Source organism: Homo sapiens, chromosome 8 (assembly GCF_000001405.40).
Source record: "Homo sapiens chromosome 8, GRCh38.p14 Primary Assembly".
In the NCBI taxonomy this organism is placed as follows: Eukaryota; Metazoa; Chordata; class Mammalia; order Primates; family Hominidae; genus Homo; species Homo sapiens.
Genome location: NC_000008.11, coordinates 118,826,280 through 118,843,114, shown reverse-complemented (window position 1 = coordinate 118,843,114; position 16,835 = coordinate 118,826,280). Strand labels below are relative to the sequence as shown.

Sequence of the window (16,835 nt, the reverse complement as noted above, 5' to 3'; positions counted from 1 at the left end):
ATGCCTGTAGTCCCAGCTACCCACGAGACTGAGGTGAGCGGATCATCTGAGCCCAGGTGGTCAAGGCTATAGTGAGCTGTGATCATCCCACTACACTACAGCCTGGGTGACAGAGTGAGACCTTGACTCAAGAAAAAAAGTAAAAGAAAAGAAAAAGAAATAACTGAAATGGGATAATTTATAAATAAAAAAGGTTTATTTGGCTCACAACTCTGCTGGCTGGAACGCTGAGCATCTGGTGTAAACCTCAGGCTATTTCCACTCATGGTGGAAGGTGAAGGGGAGCTGGCATGTACAGAGGTCACATGGCAAGACAGGAAGCAAGGTGGGGAAGAAATGGCAGGCTCTTTTTAACAACCAGCTCTTATGGGAACCAATAGAGCAAAAACTCATTCACTTCCCCTTCCCCACAGTGAGGACATAAATCTATTCAGGAGGGATCCGCTCCCATGATGCCAACACCTCCAACTCAGCCTCATCTCCAACACTGGGGATCCACTTTCAACATGATGTTTGGAGGGGACAAATATCCAAACTTTGGGAGATGCTTTAAAAATATTTGAATTGAATTCTGCCATTTTACAATTCTGGATAATAAATAGGTGAAGCAGCTGTATTAGTTTGTTCTCACACTGCTATAAAAAGACTACCTGAGACTGGGGAATATATAAACAAAAGAGGTTTAATTGACTCACAGTTTCACGTGGCTGGGGAGGTCTCAGGAAACTTACAATCATGGTGGAAAGTGAAGGAAAAGCAGGCAAGTCTTACATGGCAGCAGGAGAGAGAGTGAGAGAGTGAGGAAGTGCCACAGTTTAAAACCATCAACTCTCATGAGAACTCACTCACTATCATGAGAACAGCAGGGGGGAAACTGCCCCATGATCCAATCACCTCCCACCAGGTCCATCCCTTGGCACGTGGGGATTACAATTTGATATGAGATTTGAGTGGGGACACAGAGTCAAACCATATCGTTCCACCCCGGCCCCTCCCAAATCTCATGTCCTTTTCATATTTCAAAACCAATCATGCCTACCCAACAGTCCCACAAAGTTTTAACTCATTCCAGCATTAACTCAAAAGTCCAAGTCCAAAGTCTCATCTAAGACAAAGCAAGTCCCTTCTACCTATGAGCCTGTAAAATCAAAAGCAAGTTAGTTACTTCCTAGATACAATGGGAGTATAGGCATTGAGTAAATGTTCCCATTCTAAATGGGAGAAATTGGCCAAAACAAAGGGGCCACAGGCCCCTTACAAGTCCAAAACCTGGCTAGGCAAGTCATTAAATCATAAAGCTCCAAAATCTCCTTTGATTCCATGTCTCACATCCAGAGCATGTTGATGCAAGGGCTGGGCTCCCACAGCCTTGTGGAGCTCCACTCCTGTGGCTCTGCAGGGTAGAGCCCCTGTGGCTTCTTTCACAGACTGACATTGAATGCCTATGGCTTTTACAAGCGCATGGTGTGTAAGCTGTTGGCGGATCTACCATTCTGGGGTCTGGAGGACAGTGTCCCTCTTCTCACAGCTCCACTAGGCTGTGCCCCAGTGGGGCCTCTGTGTGGGGGCTCCAAACCCATATTTCCCCTCCAAACTGCCCTAGCAGAGGTTCTCCATGAAAGCTCTGCCCCTGCAGCAGACTTCTGCCTGGACATCCAGGCATTTCCATACATCCTCTCAGATCTAGGCGAGGTTCCCAAAGCTTAACTCTTGTCTTCTGTGCATCTGTAGGCCCAATACCACATGGAAGCTGCCAAGGCTTGGGGCTTGCACTCTCTGAAGCAGCAGCCCAGGCTGTACCTATGCCCCTTTTAGCCACAGGCAAAGCTGGAGGGGCTGGGATGCAGGGTGCCATGTCCTGGGGCTACACAGAGCAGTGGGGCCCTGGGCCTGACCCATGAAACCAATTTTTTTCCTCCCAGGCCCCTGGGCCTGCAATGGGAAGGGCTACTGCAAAGACATCTAATATGCCCTTGAGACATTTTCCCCATTGTCTTGGTTATTAACATTCAGCACGTCGTTACTTATGCAAATTTCTGCAGCTGGCTTGAATTCTACCCCAGAAAATGGGTTTTTCTCTTATACCAAATGGTCAGGCTACAAATTTTCCAAACTTTTGGCCTCTACTTTTTTGAACATAAGTTCCAATTTCAAACCATCACTTTGTGAACACATATAACTGAACACTTTCAGAATAAGCCAGGTCATATCTTGAATGCTTTGTTGCTTAGAAATTTCTTCCGCCAGATACTCTAAATCATTATCCAATCACCTACCACCAGATCCTTCCCACAACATGTGGGGATCACAATTTGGTATGAGATGTGAGTAGGGACACAGAGCCCCCACTCTCGGTCTCTCTCTCCTGCCACTATGTAAGATGTGCCTGGAGGATCTGTCCCAGGTCCTCTCTCCATGGATTTTACATGGCTCTCTTTTACATCTCTTGACATCATCTTTGCCTTCCATCTGTACTTATCCCTATGTCCAAATTCCTCCTTTTTATAAGGACAGCAGTCATGCTGGATTAGGGCACAACACTTTTTGAAATATTAAAAGTTTCCTTGAACTCTCCCAAATTCAAAGTTCCGCAGGTCTCTGGGCAGGGGAAAAATGGCACCAGTCTCTTTGCTAAAGCATAGCATGAGTGACCTCGATTCCAGTTCCCAATAAGTTCCTCATTTCCATCTAAGACAACCTCAGCCTCGACTTCATTGTTCATATCACTATCAGCATTTTGGTCAAAACCATTCAACAAGTCTCTAAGAAGTTCCAAACTTTCCCTCATCTTCTTGTCTTCTTCTGAGTCCCCAAACTGTTCCAACCTCTGCCTGTTACCCAATTCAAGAGTCACTTCCACATTTTCAGGTTATCTTTATAGCAGTACCCCACTTTGCCAGTACCAATTATCTGTATTAGTCTGTTTTCACACTGCTATAAAGATACTTCCTGAGACTGGGTAATTCATAAACAAAAGAGGTTTAATTGACTCACAGTTCCACGTGGGTGGGGAAGCATCAGGAAACTTATAATCATGGTGGAAGGTGAAGGGAAAGCAAGGCATATCTTACATGGTAGCAGGTGAGAGAAAGTGAGAGCACAAGGAAGTGCCACACTTTAAAACGATCAACTCTTGTGAGAACTCACTCCCTGTCACAAGAACAGCATGGGGGAACTGCCCCCATCATCCAATCACTTCCCACCAGGCCCCACCCTCAACATGTGGGGATTACAGTTCAAGATGAGATTTGGGTGAGGACACAGAACCAAACTGTATCAGCAGCTGTAGTTCTAACTTAAATCTTCCCTGCATTTTCTCTTTTTTCTATCATAAGCAATACCATGCCAATTCTCTGGGTGTAGTTCATTTATTTCCTCATGTTAAATGGCATATTTAAATAATTTAAGAGAAGAAGAGACACATATTTAGAATCATTATTTCTTACATTTTTCCAACACATATAGCAATATTGTTTTTGAATAAGATTGTAGAAATGAACCTCTTTTACAAGTTTACCTCATATTAAATTTAATGTTGAAAAGTACCTGAAAGAAAGGGTATCAGTCTCTCTCTGAATCATGTTTTTAATCACAATGTTACATATTAAATTTCTTCCTCCAAGTACTTTAGGTCATAGAGTTGGAAGCCATTTATTACAGAATAATTACATGCAGAGCATGCACATCTGGATGAGCCCAACACTAGCAAGTCAGGAGCTCACCTCTTGGGCTGGGCATCTTTTCCACTTCACAGAGGCTGAGGGGTGACAGTGCCTATTCACTCCTAGAAAAGTTCCAGCCACCCTAAGACTGGACAATTCACTGGAGCTGACTCAGAGTACAAAAATTATTAGAAATATGCCTTGCAGTGGCCCTTCTTTCAGTTCATGCATGAAATGAACCTTGGAGAGAGCCCCACTCTCAAGTCCCACTCCACTCTTCGGATGCCAGCAGTCATTTCTCCTCTCCTCCCTTCATCTCTAGTCTCTCCAGCTCTTTCTTTATACTCCCACTTCCGCCTCCACACACAATCACCACATAAGCCTTAGTAACTGATTCAGAAAGGATGCTCATTAGCAAAGGGAGGATATTATTGGTTAAATTGTGTCTCCCCGAAATAACCTGAATGCCTACAATGTAACTGTATTTGGAGATAGGATCTTTACAGAAGTAACCAAGTTAAAGCGAGGACCATTAAGGTGTGTCCTAATCCAACATGACTGTTGTCCTTATGAAAAGGGAGAATTTGGACATAGAGATAAACAGAGGGAAGGCAAAGATGATGTCAAGAGATGTAAATGAGGGCCATGTACAAGCCATGGAGAGAGGATCTGGGATAGATCCTCTGTCTCACAGCCCCTCAAAAGAAGCCAGCCCTACTGACACCTTGATTTTGGACTTCTAGCCTACACAGCTGTGAGACAGTAAATCTTTGTTGTTTAATTATCCAGTTTGTGATATTTTCTTACAGCAGCTCTAGTTAATTTATACAGAGGGCTTTGTCCTTTTCTTTAGAGTGAGAAGACTTTTATTTGGAATAGCAATTCCTGGGTTTTTCAAACAGGGGAATATCAGATTACCCCAGAATAAGCTAAATGATTTATCCTAATATAACAAAGAAATGTTAACCTCCCCAAAAAGTTCCATTTTATTATGAAAATATGTCACTGAGGTAAAATAAGAAATATTTAGTTTTTGTACCCAATTGCTGGCACAGAGCTCTTAAAACTTTTGGAATTTCCTGAGTGATGGGAGTATCTTTTGTCTTTCATAACAAGCCCCTTTCAACAATGACTAAGTTTATGTTAATATATAAACCATTCAACAAGTCTCTAGTAAGTTCCAAACTTTCCCTCATCTTCTTGTCTTCTTGAGGGTCCCTGGATAACTTCATGATGGAAGGTGGTCTCCAGAAAGACAACAGAATGATTAGTGAGTTGAAACATTCAGCTCCACCCCCTGACTTTGCAGGCAAGGGGAAAGGGGCTGGAGACTGTGTTGAATCACCTGTGGCCAATGATTTAATCAATCATGCCTACGCAATAAAACCTCCATAAAAACCACTAAACAACAGGGTTCAGAGAGCTTCCTGGTCAGTGACCACAATGAGGTGCTGGAGGGTGGCACACCCAGAAAAGGCAGGGAAGCTCCTTGCCTCGCCCCATACCTTGCTCTGTGCATCTCTTCTACTTGACTGTTCTGAGTTGTAGCCTTTGTAATAGATGGATAACAATAAGAAAAGCACTTTCCTGAGTTTTGTGAGACATTCTAGTGAATCACCAAACCTGGCAAGGAGGTTGTGGGAGCCTCTGAATTTGTAGCCAAGTCAGACAGAAGTGCAGCTAACCTGGGGACCCAGTCCTTGAGATCTTGAGACAGCATCTGATGGGAGGGCAGTCTTGTGGGACTGAGCCCTTAAACCTGTGGAGTCTGATGCTAACTCTGAGGAGTTAGTGTTACAATAGAACTGAATTGTTGGACACCCAGTTGGTGTTTGGAGAATATGAGAATTGCAGTCACAAATATCCTTATTCTGTAACACAAATAAAAAGATTATATTCCTCTTGTTACTCATTCATTGACTTTAAGGGTCACCTGCTACATAGGAGGCTCTTATTTCTGCCCCTATAGCTTAATAGAATGGTGAGGAGGAGAAACTTCCCAGGAAATCCTAGCTGCAAGGTCCCTCAGAGTCACCCTGGAGCTTTTGCTTCACTTAAGCCCCCATTTTCCTACAAAGCCTGCTTGAAACCCAACTCTCCTTAGTAGCCTCCGCCTGGGCAGCAGCTGAGTGCAAACAGGAAGAGTGGGAGAATGTGGGTGAGGTCAGGAAGGAAACCAACCTTGACTTAAACTCCCACTAGCTTTCCTTTCTTCTCTCTCCTACTCCTATTCTTCAAGGCATTTTTCCTCCCTTTGGACAAGAAATAAAGTCAGGATGAAATAGAAATTACTAGTTGTAGGCCACTGCAGTTTTTAAGTCACCCACAATTCTCACCTCCAAGCCAATTAGATTTCCCTGAGCCAAGTCAATTTCCTTTCACCTCCACCATATACTTATCCTACATGAATGCCCACCCCCAATTCACTCACCCCCAAAAACATGAACGTAAGCCCTCCCACCTTCTCTGCCTCTCTTATCTTCTGCTCTTTGAAATGCTCGATAGGTGCATTTTTTAGTTGTTTTGCCAGGCTTCTCTGGACTTTCTACCGCAGGTTGATGCAGGTGGAGAGCTGTACAGCCTGAACTTAGGTTTTGGGCAGGTATGGGTTCAAATTCCTCCATGCTACTTACTACCTATGTGTCCTTGGATAAGTCACTTAAAGCCTCAGAACTGGTTTTCATTAACATTTCAATAAAATTGAGATTTTATTTCAACAACCTGATATCCAGACACGTTTAATTTGTCAGATAGGTTGGAGCTATCGGTTAATATAATTAAATAAAATCACCAAATCATATAATTTGGGGGGTAACCTTAGAGCCTAAACTTCTAAAAGGGCAATTTGACTATTTTTTATTCTCACAGTGAATTAATGTATTATGGCTTAGAAACCTAATAGTAAACCTAAATGGAGTAAACTCTGCAGGTAAGAAGAAACACTTTAGAATTTGATATTCATCCCTCTTCTCCCCTAGGGTTTTGATGGTCATGTTAGAGCAGAGTGAAAACATGATCAGACACCTGCAGAGAAACTTTCCTTTATTCCTCATTAGGAGATGCTGTTTGTAAACTTTAAAGTGCAAAATCCTCTACAGGTTTGTATGATGAAAATCACATCTTATACTCCTCGTGAATCATATAAGAAATCTTTAGCATAATTCTGACAATACCCAATTTTACATTACACACTGATGAAGAATTGCATTTTCTTGGTAAATGTTTATTCTTTATTTTAAGAGACCACATGAAACTGGAGTGTAAATATGTATACATTTTCAGTATAGTTATACATCTTTAACAATGCAGATTGGTTCTGAGAAATGTTTCATTCAGTGATCTCATCATTCTACCAATATCACAGAGTGTACTACACAGTTCTAGATGGTATTGCCTAATGATACACACCTAGGCTACATGGTATAGACTATTGCTCCTAGGCTACAAACCTGACCAGCATGTTACTGTACTGACTGCTATAGGCAATTGCAACACAATGGTCAGTACTTATATGATCTAAACAGAAAAGATGAAGTATAAATACATTATAAAAGATAATGTATTTAAGATAATGTAAATGATAACGTGCCTTACCTGTATAGGGCACTCACCTAGAATGGAGTTTGCGGGACTGGAAGTTGCTCTGAGTGAATCAATGAGTGAGTGACGAGTAAATGCGAAAGCCTGGAGCATTACTGTCCACTACTGTAAACTTTATAAAGCTCTACACTTAGTACACTAAATTTATAAGCAATATTTTTTCTTTAATAATAAATTAACCTTTGCTTATCATGACTTTTTTACTTTAAGAACTTGTATTTTTTAACTTTATAAGTCTTTTGTAAATACACTTAGCTGAAACCACAAACTGATTTTCACAGCTGTATAAAACTATTTTTTCTTTATATCCTTATTCTATAAGCTTTTTCTACTTCCTATTTTTAATTTTTAAACCATTTTGTTAAAAGTTAAGACACAAACACACACATTAGCCTAGACCTACACAGGATTAGGATCATCAGTATCACTGTCTTCCATCTCCATATCTTGTCCCACTGGAAAGTCTTCAGGGCAATAACACTCATGGAGCTGTCATTTCCTAGGATAACAATGCCTTCTTCTAGAATATCTCCTGAAGGACTTGCATGAAGCTGTTTTACAGTTAACTCTTTTTTTTATTTTAAAATAAGTAGGAGGACTATATTCTAAAATAACAAAAGAAGTATAGTTTTTGCCGGCTGCTGCCATCTTATACAACACCCCTCCCTCCCAACACACACACACACACACACACACACACACACACACGCACGCACACACGCACAAGTAGCCAGCCTGGTGTCCTTTCAAATCAACATTCTCAACAAATATATTCTTGCATACACACACGTGCACACACATCTATAGTACTTTTATTGTTGCTACTGTTGATAAGAAAATAGAATCATAGCATATACATTACCATGCAATGTGGACATTTTTTCACTCGCCATATATACTCAATATGGCCAGTAATCATAAATATATACCTAAGTTTATCTATTTTTTCAAGACTTTATGTGTATACGTACATGCATTGGAAATTTTATGTACTCAAATTCATATCAAATGTTCTGAGAGGATTTTTGTTCTGTATTTTTTTGTCTCCTTATTTTATTTTTATTCATCTACACTTTCCTCTCCTTTCCTATATTTGGATGTATTCTAGTAATTGTGAATTTAAGGATTCTAACATATGGTTTTGTTTCTAAGAATTGCCAATTTACATTCTTTGTTCATTATACTATTGAATTATGTTTCTTGCCAGAATGAATCCTAAATATTCTTTATATTATGTAGACTTTAAAGTGTATCTGTATCTGTGTTGCAACTTCATTTTACAGATCTATGACCTATCTAATGACTTTGCTATCTTTTGCTATACAAAGACATAAATTTATATTTATTTATGTACGTCTATCTTTTACAGTTCCTGAATTTCCTGGACCCATAAAAATGTTTGTCCCACATTTAGGTAGTAAGTATAAATACTTAATTTTTTTCTACATACTTTTTTATTTTTAATATTTAAGTTTTAAATTCAGCTAGGATTTATTTTCATATGTGGTAAAAGGTGTGACTTCCACTTCATTTTATTCTAGATGAATTAAATATTAGCTATGCTGTAACCATTTATGAAATAACTGAAATAACCTTTCCTCAATGAAACAAAATGCCAACTTTGTGATATAATCAAAATCCATAAATAATAGAATTTGTTTTTTGCTTCGCTATTTTATTTCTATGATTTATTTATCTGTTTAAACTTCAAAGCTTCATAGCACCTTCTAATGTCTAACAAGGGAATGTCTTTATCATGATAGTTATTTTTAAAGAATTTTTTGGCTATTTTTGTTATTTATTCTTCTATAAGAAGATCCTTGATGAAATTATCAAAGTCTTCTTACAATTACAATTTGAATTTCTATTATTTCAGAACTGATATTTTTATTTATTAAATATCACCATCTAAGAATATGATATGTCTTTCTAATTATTTAAATATCCATGTGTCTTTCAATAACAATTTTCTCTACATGTTTCCTATTAATTTTTTTTATTAAGTTCAGATGCTTTTTTCTTAAATTAATTCCTAAGTATTTATCATTTTTGTCACCATTATAAGTGAAATATTTTACTACTTTTATTTTTGGTTGTCATTATTATAAGGAAAATTATTATAAGGAAAAATTATTATTATAAGGAAAAATATACTGAGATTATATATATATACTTATATATAATATATAAATACATATAAATATATTATATATTATGTTATATATATAAAAATATATCCAGTACCCTACTATAATATATATATAACATATATATTATGTTATATATATACATCTATATTATGTTATATATATATATATATATAAATATATCCAGTACTATGATAATTTTCATATTATAGTTGAACCTTGAACATCATAAGTTTCAACCACACAGGTCCACTTACGTGTGAATTTTCTTTTGTCTCTACCATCCCTAACAAGCAAAATCAACCCCTCCTCTTCCTTCTTCTCCTCAGCCTACTTAACATGAAGATGGCAAGAATGAAGGCTTTTGCTGATCTACCTCCACCCCATGAATATTAAATACATTTTCTCTCTCTTATGATTTTCTTAATAGCATTTTTCATTTCTCTAGCTTATTTTATTGTAAGAATACAGTATATAATACATATAACATACAAAATACCTGTCAATTGGCTGTTATCAGTAAGGCCTCTGGTCAACAGTAAGTTATTAGTAGTTAAGTTTGGGGAATTCAAAAGTTACAGTTGAATTTTCTATTGCACAGGGGAGTCAGTGCCCCTAACACATGTGTTATTCAAGGGCCAATTATAATTATACTTAATGTAGTATAATCTTGTTCATTTCCCAACTGTATAATTTTCACAGTATCAACAAATATTTTTACAACTTCTTTTTAAAAGTTTTACCAACTTAAGTGAAATTATTGGAATATTTGATGATTCAGAATGATATTTGTAATTATGTTGGATATTTGAGTGTAATTTTATATTCACTAAACCATTTTTACTATCTACAAATATCTCTTTTTAAAATTAATATTAATAATCTCCAAAAATTAGAAGTGGATAAGAACTAAATGTCAACTTCCCCATAATATTTACCAGATACTATATTTAAATGATAATAATCATTCAAGCATTTATTAGCAATCCAGCAACAAAAATAGTCAGACCTCCAGTCTTTAACAACTCAGTGAAGCCCTGGCATCACTTCAACTTCTTTTTTTCTTCCAACTTCTTTTTTTAGGTTTAGGGGGTACACGTGCAAGTTTGTTACATGAGTTAATTGCATGTTGCTGGGGTTTCATGTACAATTGATTTTGTCACACAGGTAGTGAGCATAGTATCCGATAGGTAGTTTTTCTATCCTAACACTCTTCCCACCCTCCAATCTCAAGTAAGCTCTAGTGTCTATTGTTCCCATCTTTGTGTCCATGTGTACCTAATGTTTAGTTTCCACTTATAAATGAGAACATGAGGTATTTGGCTTTCTGTTCCTGTGTTAATTCACTTAGGATAATGGCCTCCAGCTACATCCATGGTTGCTGCAAAGGACATGACCTCACTCTTTTTTATGGCTGTGTAGTATCCCATGGTGTATATGTACATTTTCTTTATCCAATCCACCATTGATGGGCATCGGGGTTGATTCAGTGTCTCTGCTATCATGAACAGTGATGCGATGAAAATGTAAATGCCTATGTCTTTTTGGTGGAAAAATTTATTTTCTTTTGGATAAATGCCCAGTAATGGCATTGCTGGATTCAATGGTAGTTCTGTTTTAAGTTCTTTCAGAAATTTCCAGAACTAATTTACGTTCCCACCAGCAATATATAAACATTTCCTTTTCTCTGAAGCCTCACCAGCATCTCTAATTTTTTGCTGTTTTAGTAATAGCCATTCTGCTTGGTGTGAGTTGGTATCGCATTGCAGTTTGATTTGTATTTCTCTGATGATTAGTGATGTGGAGCGTTTTTTTCATACATTTGTTGCCTAATTGTTTGTGTTCTCTTTTGAGAAGTGTCTGTTCATTTATTTTGCCCATTTTTCAATCAGGTTGTTTTCTGCTTGTTCAATTGTTTAAGTTTCTAATAGATTCTGAATATTAGACCTTTGTTGGATGCATAGTTTGCAATTATTTTCTCCCATTCTATAGGTTGTGGGTTTATCCCGTTGACAGTTTCTTTTGCTGTGTAGAAGCTTTTTAGTTTAATTAAGTCCTACTTGTCAATTTTTCGTTTTGTTTCAATTGCTTTTGGAGTCCACATTTTGAAATCTTTGCCAAGGCCTATGTCCAGAAAGGTATTTAATAGATTTTCTTCTAGAGTTTTTGTAGTTTTAGGTTTTACATTTAAGTCTTTAATCTATCCTGACTTTAATTTTTTATGTGGTGAAATGTAGAAGTCCAGTTTCAATGTTCTGCATATAGCTAGCCAGTTATCCCAGAGCCATTTATTGAATAGGAGGTCCTTTCTCCATTGCATGTTATTGTTGACTTTGTCAAAGAACTGATGGTTGTAGGTGTGCCACTTTATTTCTGGGTTCTCTAACTCATTTCGCTGGCCTATGGTCTTTTTTAACGCCAGTATCATGCTGTTTTATTTACTGTAGCCTTGTAGTATAGTTTGAAGTTGGGTAGTGTGATACCTCCAGCTTCATTCTTTCTGCTTAGGATTGCTTTGGCTATTCACACTCTTTATTATATCCATGTGGATTTTAAAATAGCTTTTCTAATTCTGTGAAAAATGATAGTGGTTATTTGACAGGAATACCACTGAATCTACAAATTGCGTTGGGCAGTATGTTCATTTTAACAATATTGATTCTTCCTATCCATGAGCATGAAATGTATTTCCAATTGTTTGTGTCATCTGATTTCTTTGAGGAGTGTTTTGTCATTTTGGTTGTAGAGATTTTTCACCTCCCAGGTAGGCTGTATTCCTAGGTATTTTATTCTTTTTGTGGCTATTGTGAATAGGATTGCATTCAGCTTAGACGTTGTTGGTGTAGGGAAATGCTATTGATTTTTGGCCAGGCACAGTGGCTCATGCCTGCAGTCCCAACACTTTAGAAGGCTGAGGTGGGCAGATCACTTGAGCTCAGGAGTTTGAGAACAGCCTGGGAAATGGAGAAATGTAATCCTTTCAAACAAGCAAAAGCTAAGTACATTTGCTACCACCAGACCCACCTTACAAGAGGTCCTTAAGAGCCACTCCATGCCTATTTAACTCACCATTTCCCCAGGAGCCACTCAGGGTCAGGGAGGAGTCCTGCTGCGTGGCAACCCCAGGCAGTGTTCTTAGCTTCCTCCCCATTCAGCCTAGGGTCTGTGTCCTCCCTCGGTTGACTCTCAATGTCTTCTTTCTGAAGATCAATTCAGAGTGTGCCAGTCTTCTTGATGGTCTGGTCTCTCCGTGGGAGAAGTTTTTTCTGTCTGTGTCTATTCAGCCATCTTGGCTAAAGTTCCTCGAAAACTTGCTCTTTTTTTCTTTTCTTTTTATTATACTTTAAGTTCTGGGATACATGTGCAGGACGTGCAGGTTTGTTTCATAGGTATACACCTGCCATGGTGGTTTGCTGAACCCATCAACTCGTCATCTACATTAGGTATTTCTCCTCATGCTATCCCTCTCCTAGCCCTCCAACCTCTAACAGGCCCTGGTGGGTGATGTTTCACTCCCTGTGTCCATGTGTTCTCCTTGTTCAACTCCCACTTATGAGTGAAAACATGCAGTGTTTGGTTTTCTGTTCCATGTGGTGTTAGTTTGCTAGCAATGATGGTTTTCAGCTTCATCCATGTCCCTGCAAAGGACATGAACTCATCCTTTTTATGGCTGTATAGTATTTCCATGGTATATATGTGCCACATTTTCTTTATCCAGTCTATTATTGATGGGCATTTGGGTTGGTTCCAAGTCTTTGCTATTGTGAACAGTGCTGCAATAAACATAGGTGTGCATTTGTCTTTATAGTAGAATGATTTATAATCCTTTGGGTATATACCCAGTAATGGGATTGCTGGGTCAAATGGTATTTTTGGTTCTAGATCCTTGAGGAAATGCCACACTGTTTTCCACAATGGTTGAACTAATTTACACTCCCACCAACAGTGTAAAAGCATTTCTATTTCTCCAAAACCTCTCCAGCATCTGTTGTTTCCTGACTTTTTAATGATTGCCATTCTAACTGGAATGAGATGGTATCTCATTGTGGTTTTGATTTGCATTTATCTAATGACCAGTGATGATGAGCTTTTTTTCATATGTTTGTTGGCCCCATAAATGTCTTCTTTTGAGAAGTGTCTGTTCACATCCTTCACCCACTTTTTGAGGAGTTGTTTGTTTGTTTGTTTCTTGTAAATTTGTATAAGTTCTTTGTAGATTCTGGATATTAGCCCTTTGTCAGATGGATAGATTGCAAAAATTTTCTCCCATTCTATAGGTTGCCTGTTCACTCTGATGATAGTTTCTTTTGCTGTGCGGAAGCTCTTTAGTTTAATTAGATCTCATTTGTTAATTCTGGCTTTTGTTGCCATTGCCTTTGGTGTTTTAGTCATGAAGTCTTTGCCCATGCCTAAATGGTATTGCCTAGGTTTTCTTCTAGGGTTTTTATGGTGGTAGGTTCCAGGTTTAAGTCTTTAATCCATCTTGAGTTAATTTTTGTATAAGCTGTAAGGAAGGGATCCAGTTTCAGTTTTCTGCATATGGCTAGCCAGTTTTCCCAATACCATTTATTAAATAGGGAATCCTTTCCCCATTGCTTGTTTTTGTCAGGTTTGTTAAAGATCAGATGGTTGTAGATGTGTGGCATTATTTCCGAGGCCTCTGTTCTATTCCATTTGTGTATATATCTGTTTTGGTACCAGTAACATGCTGTTTTGGTTACTATGGCCTTGTAGTATAGTTTGAAGTCAGGTAGTGTGATGCCTCCAGCTTTGTTCTTTTTGCTTAGGATTGTCTTGGCTATGCGGGCCCTTTTTTGGTTCCATATGAAATTTAATATACTGATTTGTAATTCTGTGAGGAAAGTCAATGGTAGCTTCATGGGGATAGCATTGAATCTAAAAATTTCTTTGCGCAGTAAGTACAGCCATTTTCACGATATTGAGTCTTCGTATCCATGAGCATGGAATGTTTTCCCATTTGTTTGTGTCCTCTTTTATTTCCTTGAGCAGTGGTTTGTAGTTCTCCTTGAAGAGGTCCTTCACATCTCTTGTAAGTTGTATTCCTAGGTATTTTATTCTCTTTGTAGCAATTGTGAATGGGAGTTCACTTATGATTTGGCTCTCTGTTTCTCTGTTATTGGTGTATAGGAATGCTTGTGGTTTTTGCACATTGATTTTGTATCCTGAGACTGCTGAAGTTGCTTATCAGCTTAAGGAGATTGTGGGCTGAGACCATGAGGTTTTCTAAATATACAATCATGTCATCTGCAAACAGAGACAATTTGGCTTCCTCTCTTCCCATTTGAATACCCTTTATTTCTTTATCTTGCCTAATTGCTCTGGCCAGAACTTCCAATACTGTGTTGAATAGGAGGGGTGAGAAAGGGCATCCTTGTCTTGTGCGAGTTTTCAAAGGAAATGCTTCCAGCTTTTGCCCATTCAGTATGATATTGGCTGTGGGTTTGTCATAAATAGCTCTTGTTATTTTGAGATGCGTTCCATCAATACCTAATTTATTGAGAGTTTTTAGCATGAAGGGGTGTTGAATTTTATTGAAGGCCTTTTCTGCATCTATTGAGATAATCACGTGGTTTTGTCATTGGTTTTGTTTATGTGATGGATTACATTTATTGATTTGTGTATGTTGAACCAGACTTGCATCCCAGGGATGAAAACTTTTAAGAAGTCCAAGGAATACCTTGCCTGAAAGGCTCACTCTTGCACAAATAAAACAAATATTCTAATGGTAAGATCTGGTAATCATTCAGTCAAATCCATTTTTAATTTGATTTGTTATGCAGCTATAGATAACTAACACAATATATATGATGATATACTTATTTTCATTTATTCCATCTTACTCTATGTTTAGTATTTCCATTTGATATTTTTCTTTCCCTCCTTTGTATATTTGCAGCTAATTTACAAGTAGAAGTGCTCATTAATTTGGGTTCTTACTGTATGTTGGTAGTGTACTTTGGGTTCCCTTCCCATTCCTGGCAATTATAATAAAGCCTATTATTTATTAATATTAATTTTACTTAAAAAATTCTTACTAAGGGCTTTATTCCCCTATTACTTTTCTCTATATCTCATGTACTTCTTAGGATGAGGTTTTTAGTTTGCTTGCATTTTCTATTTTTCCTATCCTCACTCACAGATTTAACCTCTTCCCAGCCACCTCTCAAACACCCCATTTTCATCTCTGTTCTGGCTTGTTTGCTAGTTGTAGTTCATTCTCCAGAATTTTCCTGCTGTAGAGTGTTTGAGTGATGTGTACTTTCAATTCTTGTACATCTACAGTATTTTTCTTTCATTCGTGCTACTGGAATGGCATTTGGGCTGCTGTCAGGATCCATGGTTGTATTTCTTTTCTCTAAGTAGTCTATAGATGTCATTCTATGATTGGCTAGCTCCTCTTTCTGCAGATGAGCTGTCCAATGTCAACCTGCATCTGTGAATTAACCTTTGAAATAACTTGTCTTTTCTACTTTGAAACCTATAAAATGTTTTCTTTATTCTTGGAGTTTAGAAATCCTATTAAGACTTGCCTCAATGTACCTCTGCCTGCTTAGGTCTTCCTTCAGGTTAGGAAATTTTTCTGCTATCATTTGTTTAACAATTGCATTTCCATGAGATCTTCTTGTTTTCCCTTCTCATTATTTGTGTGTTAAGTCTCCTGTGGCTGTAAGCCTCATCTTTCCCTCTTGATTTCTATCCCTTTGCAGTTTGACTAGGTAGTCTCTGAAAATTTCCTTCACTTAATCTTCCTGGCCTCTAATTTGAATGTCAGTAAGGACCATTTTCTCTTTCAATTTATTTGCAAGAGCCCAGTCATTTCCATCCTCCAGGCTATGGCTGTCTTCCAGTCCCATCATCCATTTGGCTCATGTGGAGGAAGGATTAAAGTTGAGTTTGGGAATGACAAGGCAGCAGGATGTTTTAGTTACCATATTTTCAGAATTCCTTTCTGTCTTTAGAATTTATTTCTTAACTAAGGTGTGATGCTTATTCATGTCTGGCACATGATGTTAAGCAACATCCCAACCCTCAATCATCCATTTACATCCTCTTATTTGCATGCAAGAAGGCATGTTAAGATGTTGCCTATAACTAAGATATTTCTGGTACAAGTCATATATCAAGAACAAATAATAGCTGTTGCTGATGTATGAGAATATCAACTTTAAAAATTTTACTTTTTCTGGCCTCAGTTTTGAATTAACTGGGAAGTACCATAGAAGAAAAAGTAGATGAGATGACAATAGCACCTTTATTATCTATTTAAGAACATGGCTGAAATGTTGTGATAGTCTCTTAAAAAGACCCCTCTTTTAACCACCTCATGTGTTAACATCTTTGTGTAGTCAGCCCTCACCTACTGAATCTTGGCTGGCCCTGTTACTCACTTATACCCTGCAGAATA

General features: G+C 37.9%; 1 long non-coding RNA gene across 1 annotated transcript in view; it reads left to right on the top strand.

The window, feature by feature from the left end:
- Nucleotides 1-9,795, top strand: part of LOC105375723 (uncharacterized) — a 28,587-nt gene extending 18,792 nt beyond the window's left edge. Inside the window, exons 2-4 of the long non-coding RNA XR_928581.3 lie at nucleotides 6,641-6,760; nucleotides 8,632-8,679; nucleotides 9,739-9,795. This is a non-coding gene — a long non-coding RNA (uncharacterized LOC105375723). The remainder of the gene's footprint in view (nucleotides 1-6,640; nucleotides 6,761-8,631; nucleotides 8,680-9,738) is intronic.
- Nucleotides 9,796-16,835: the final 7,040 nt, after the last annotated feature.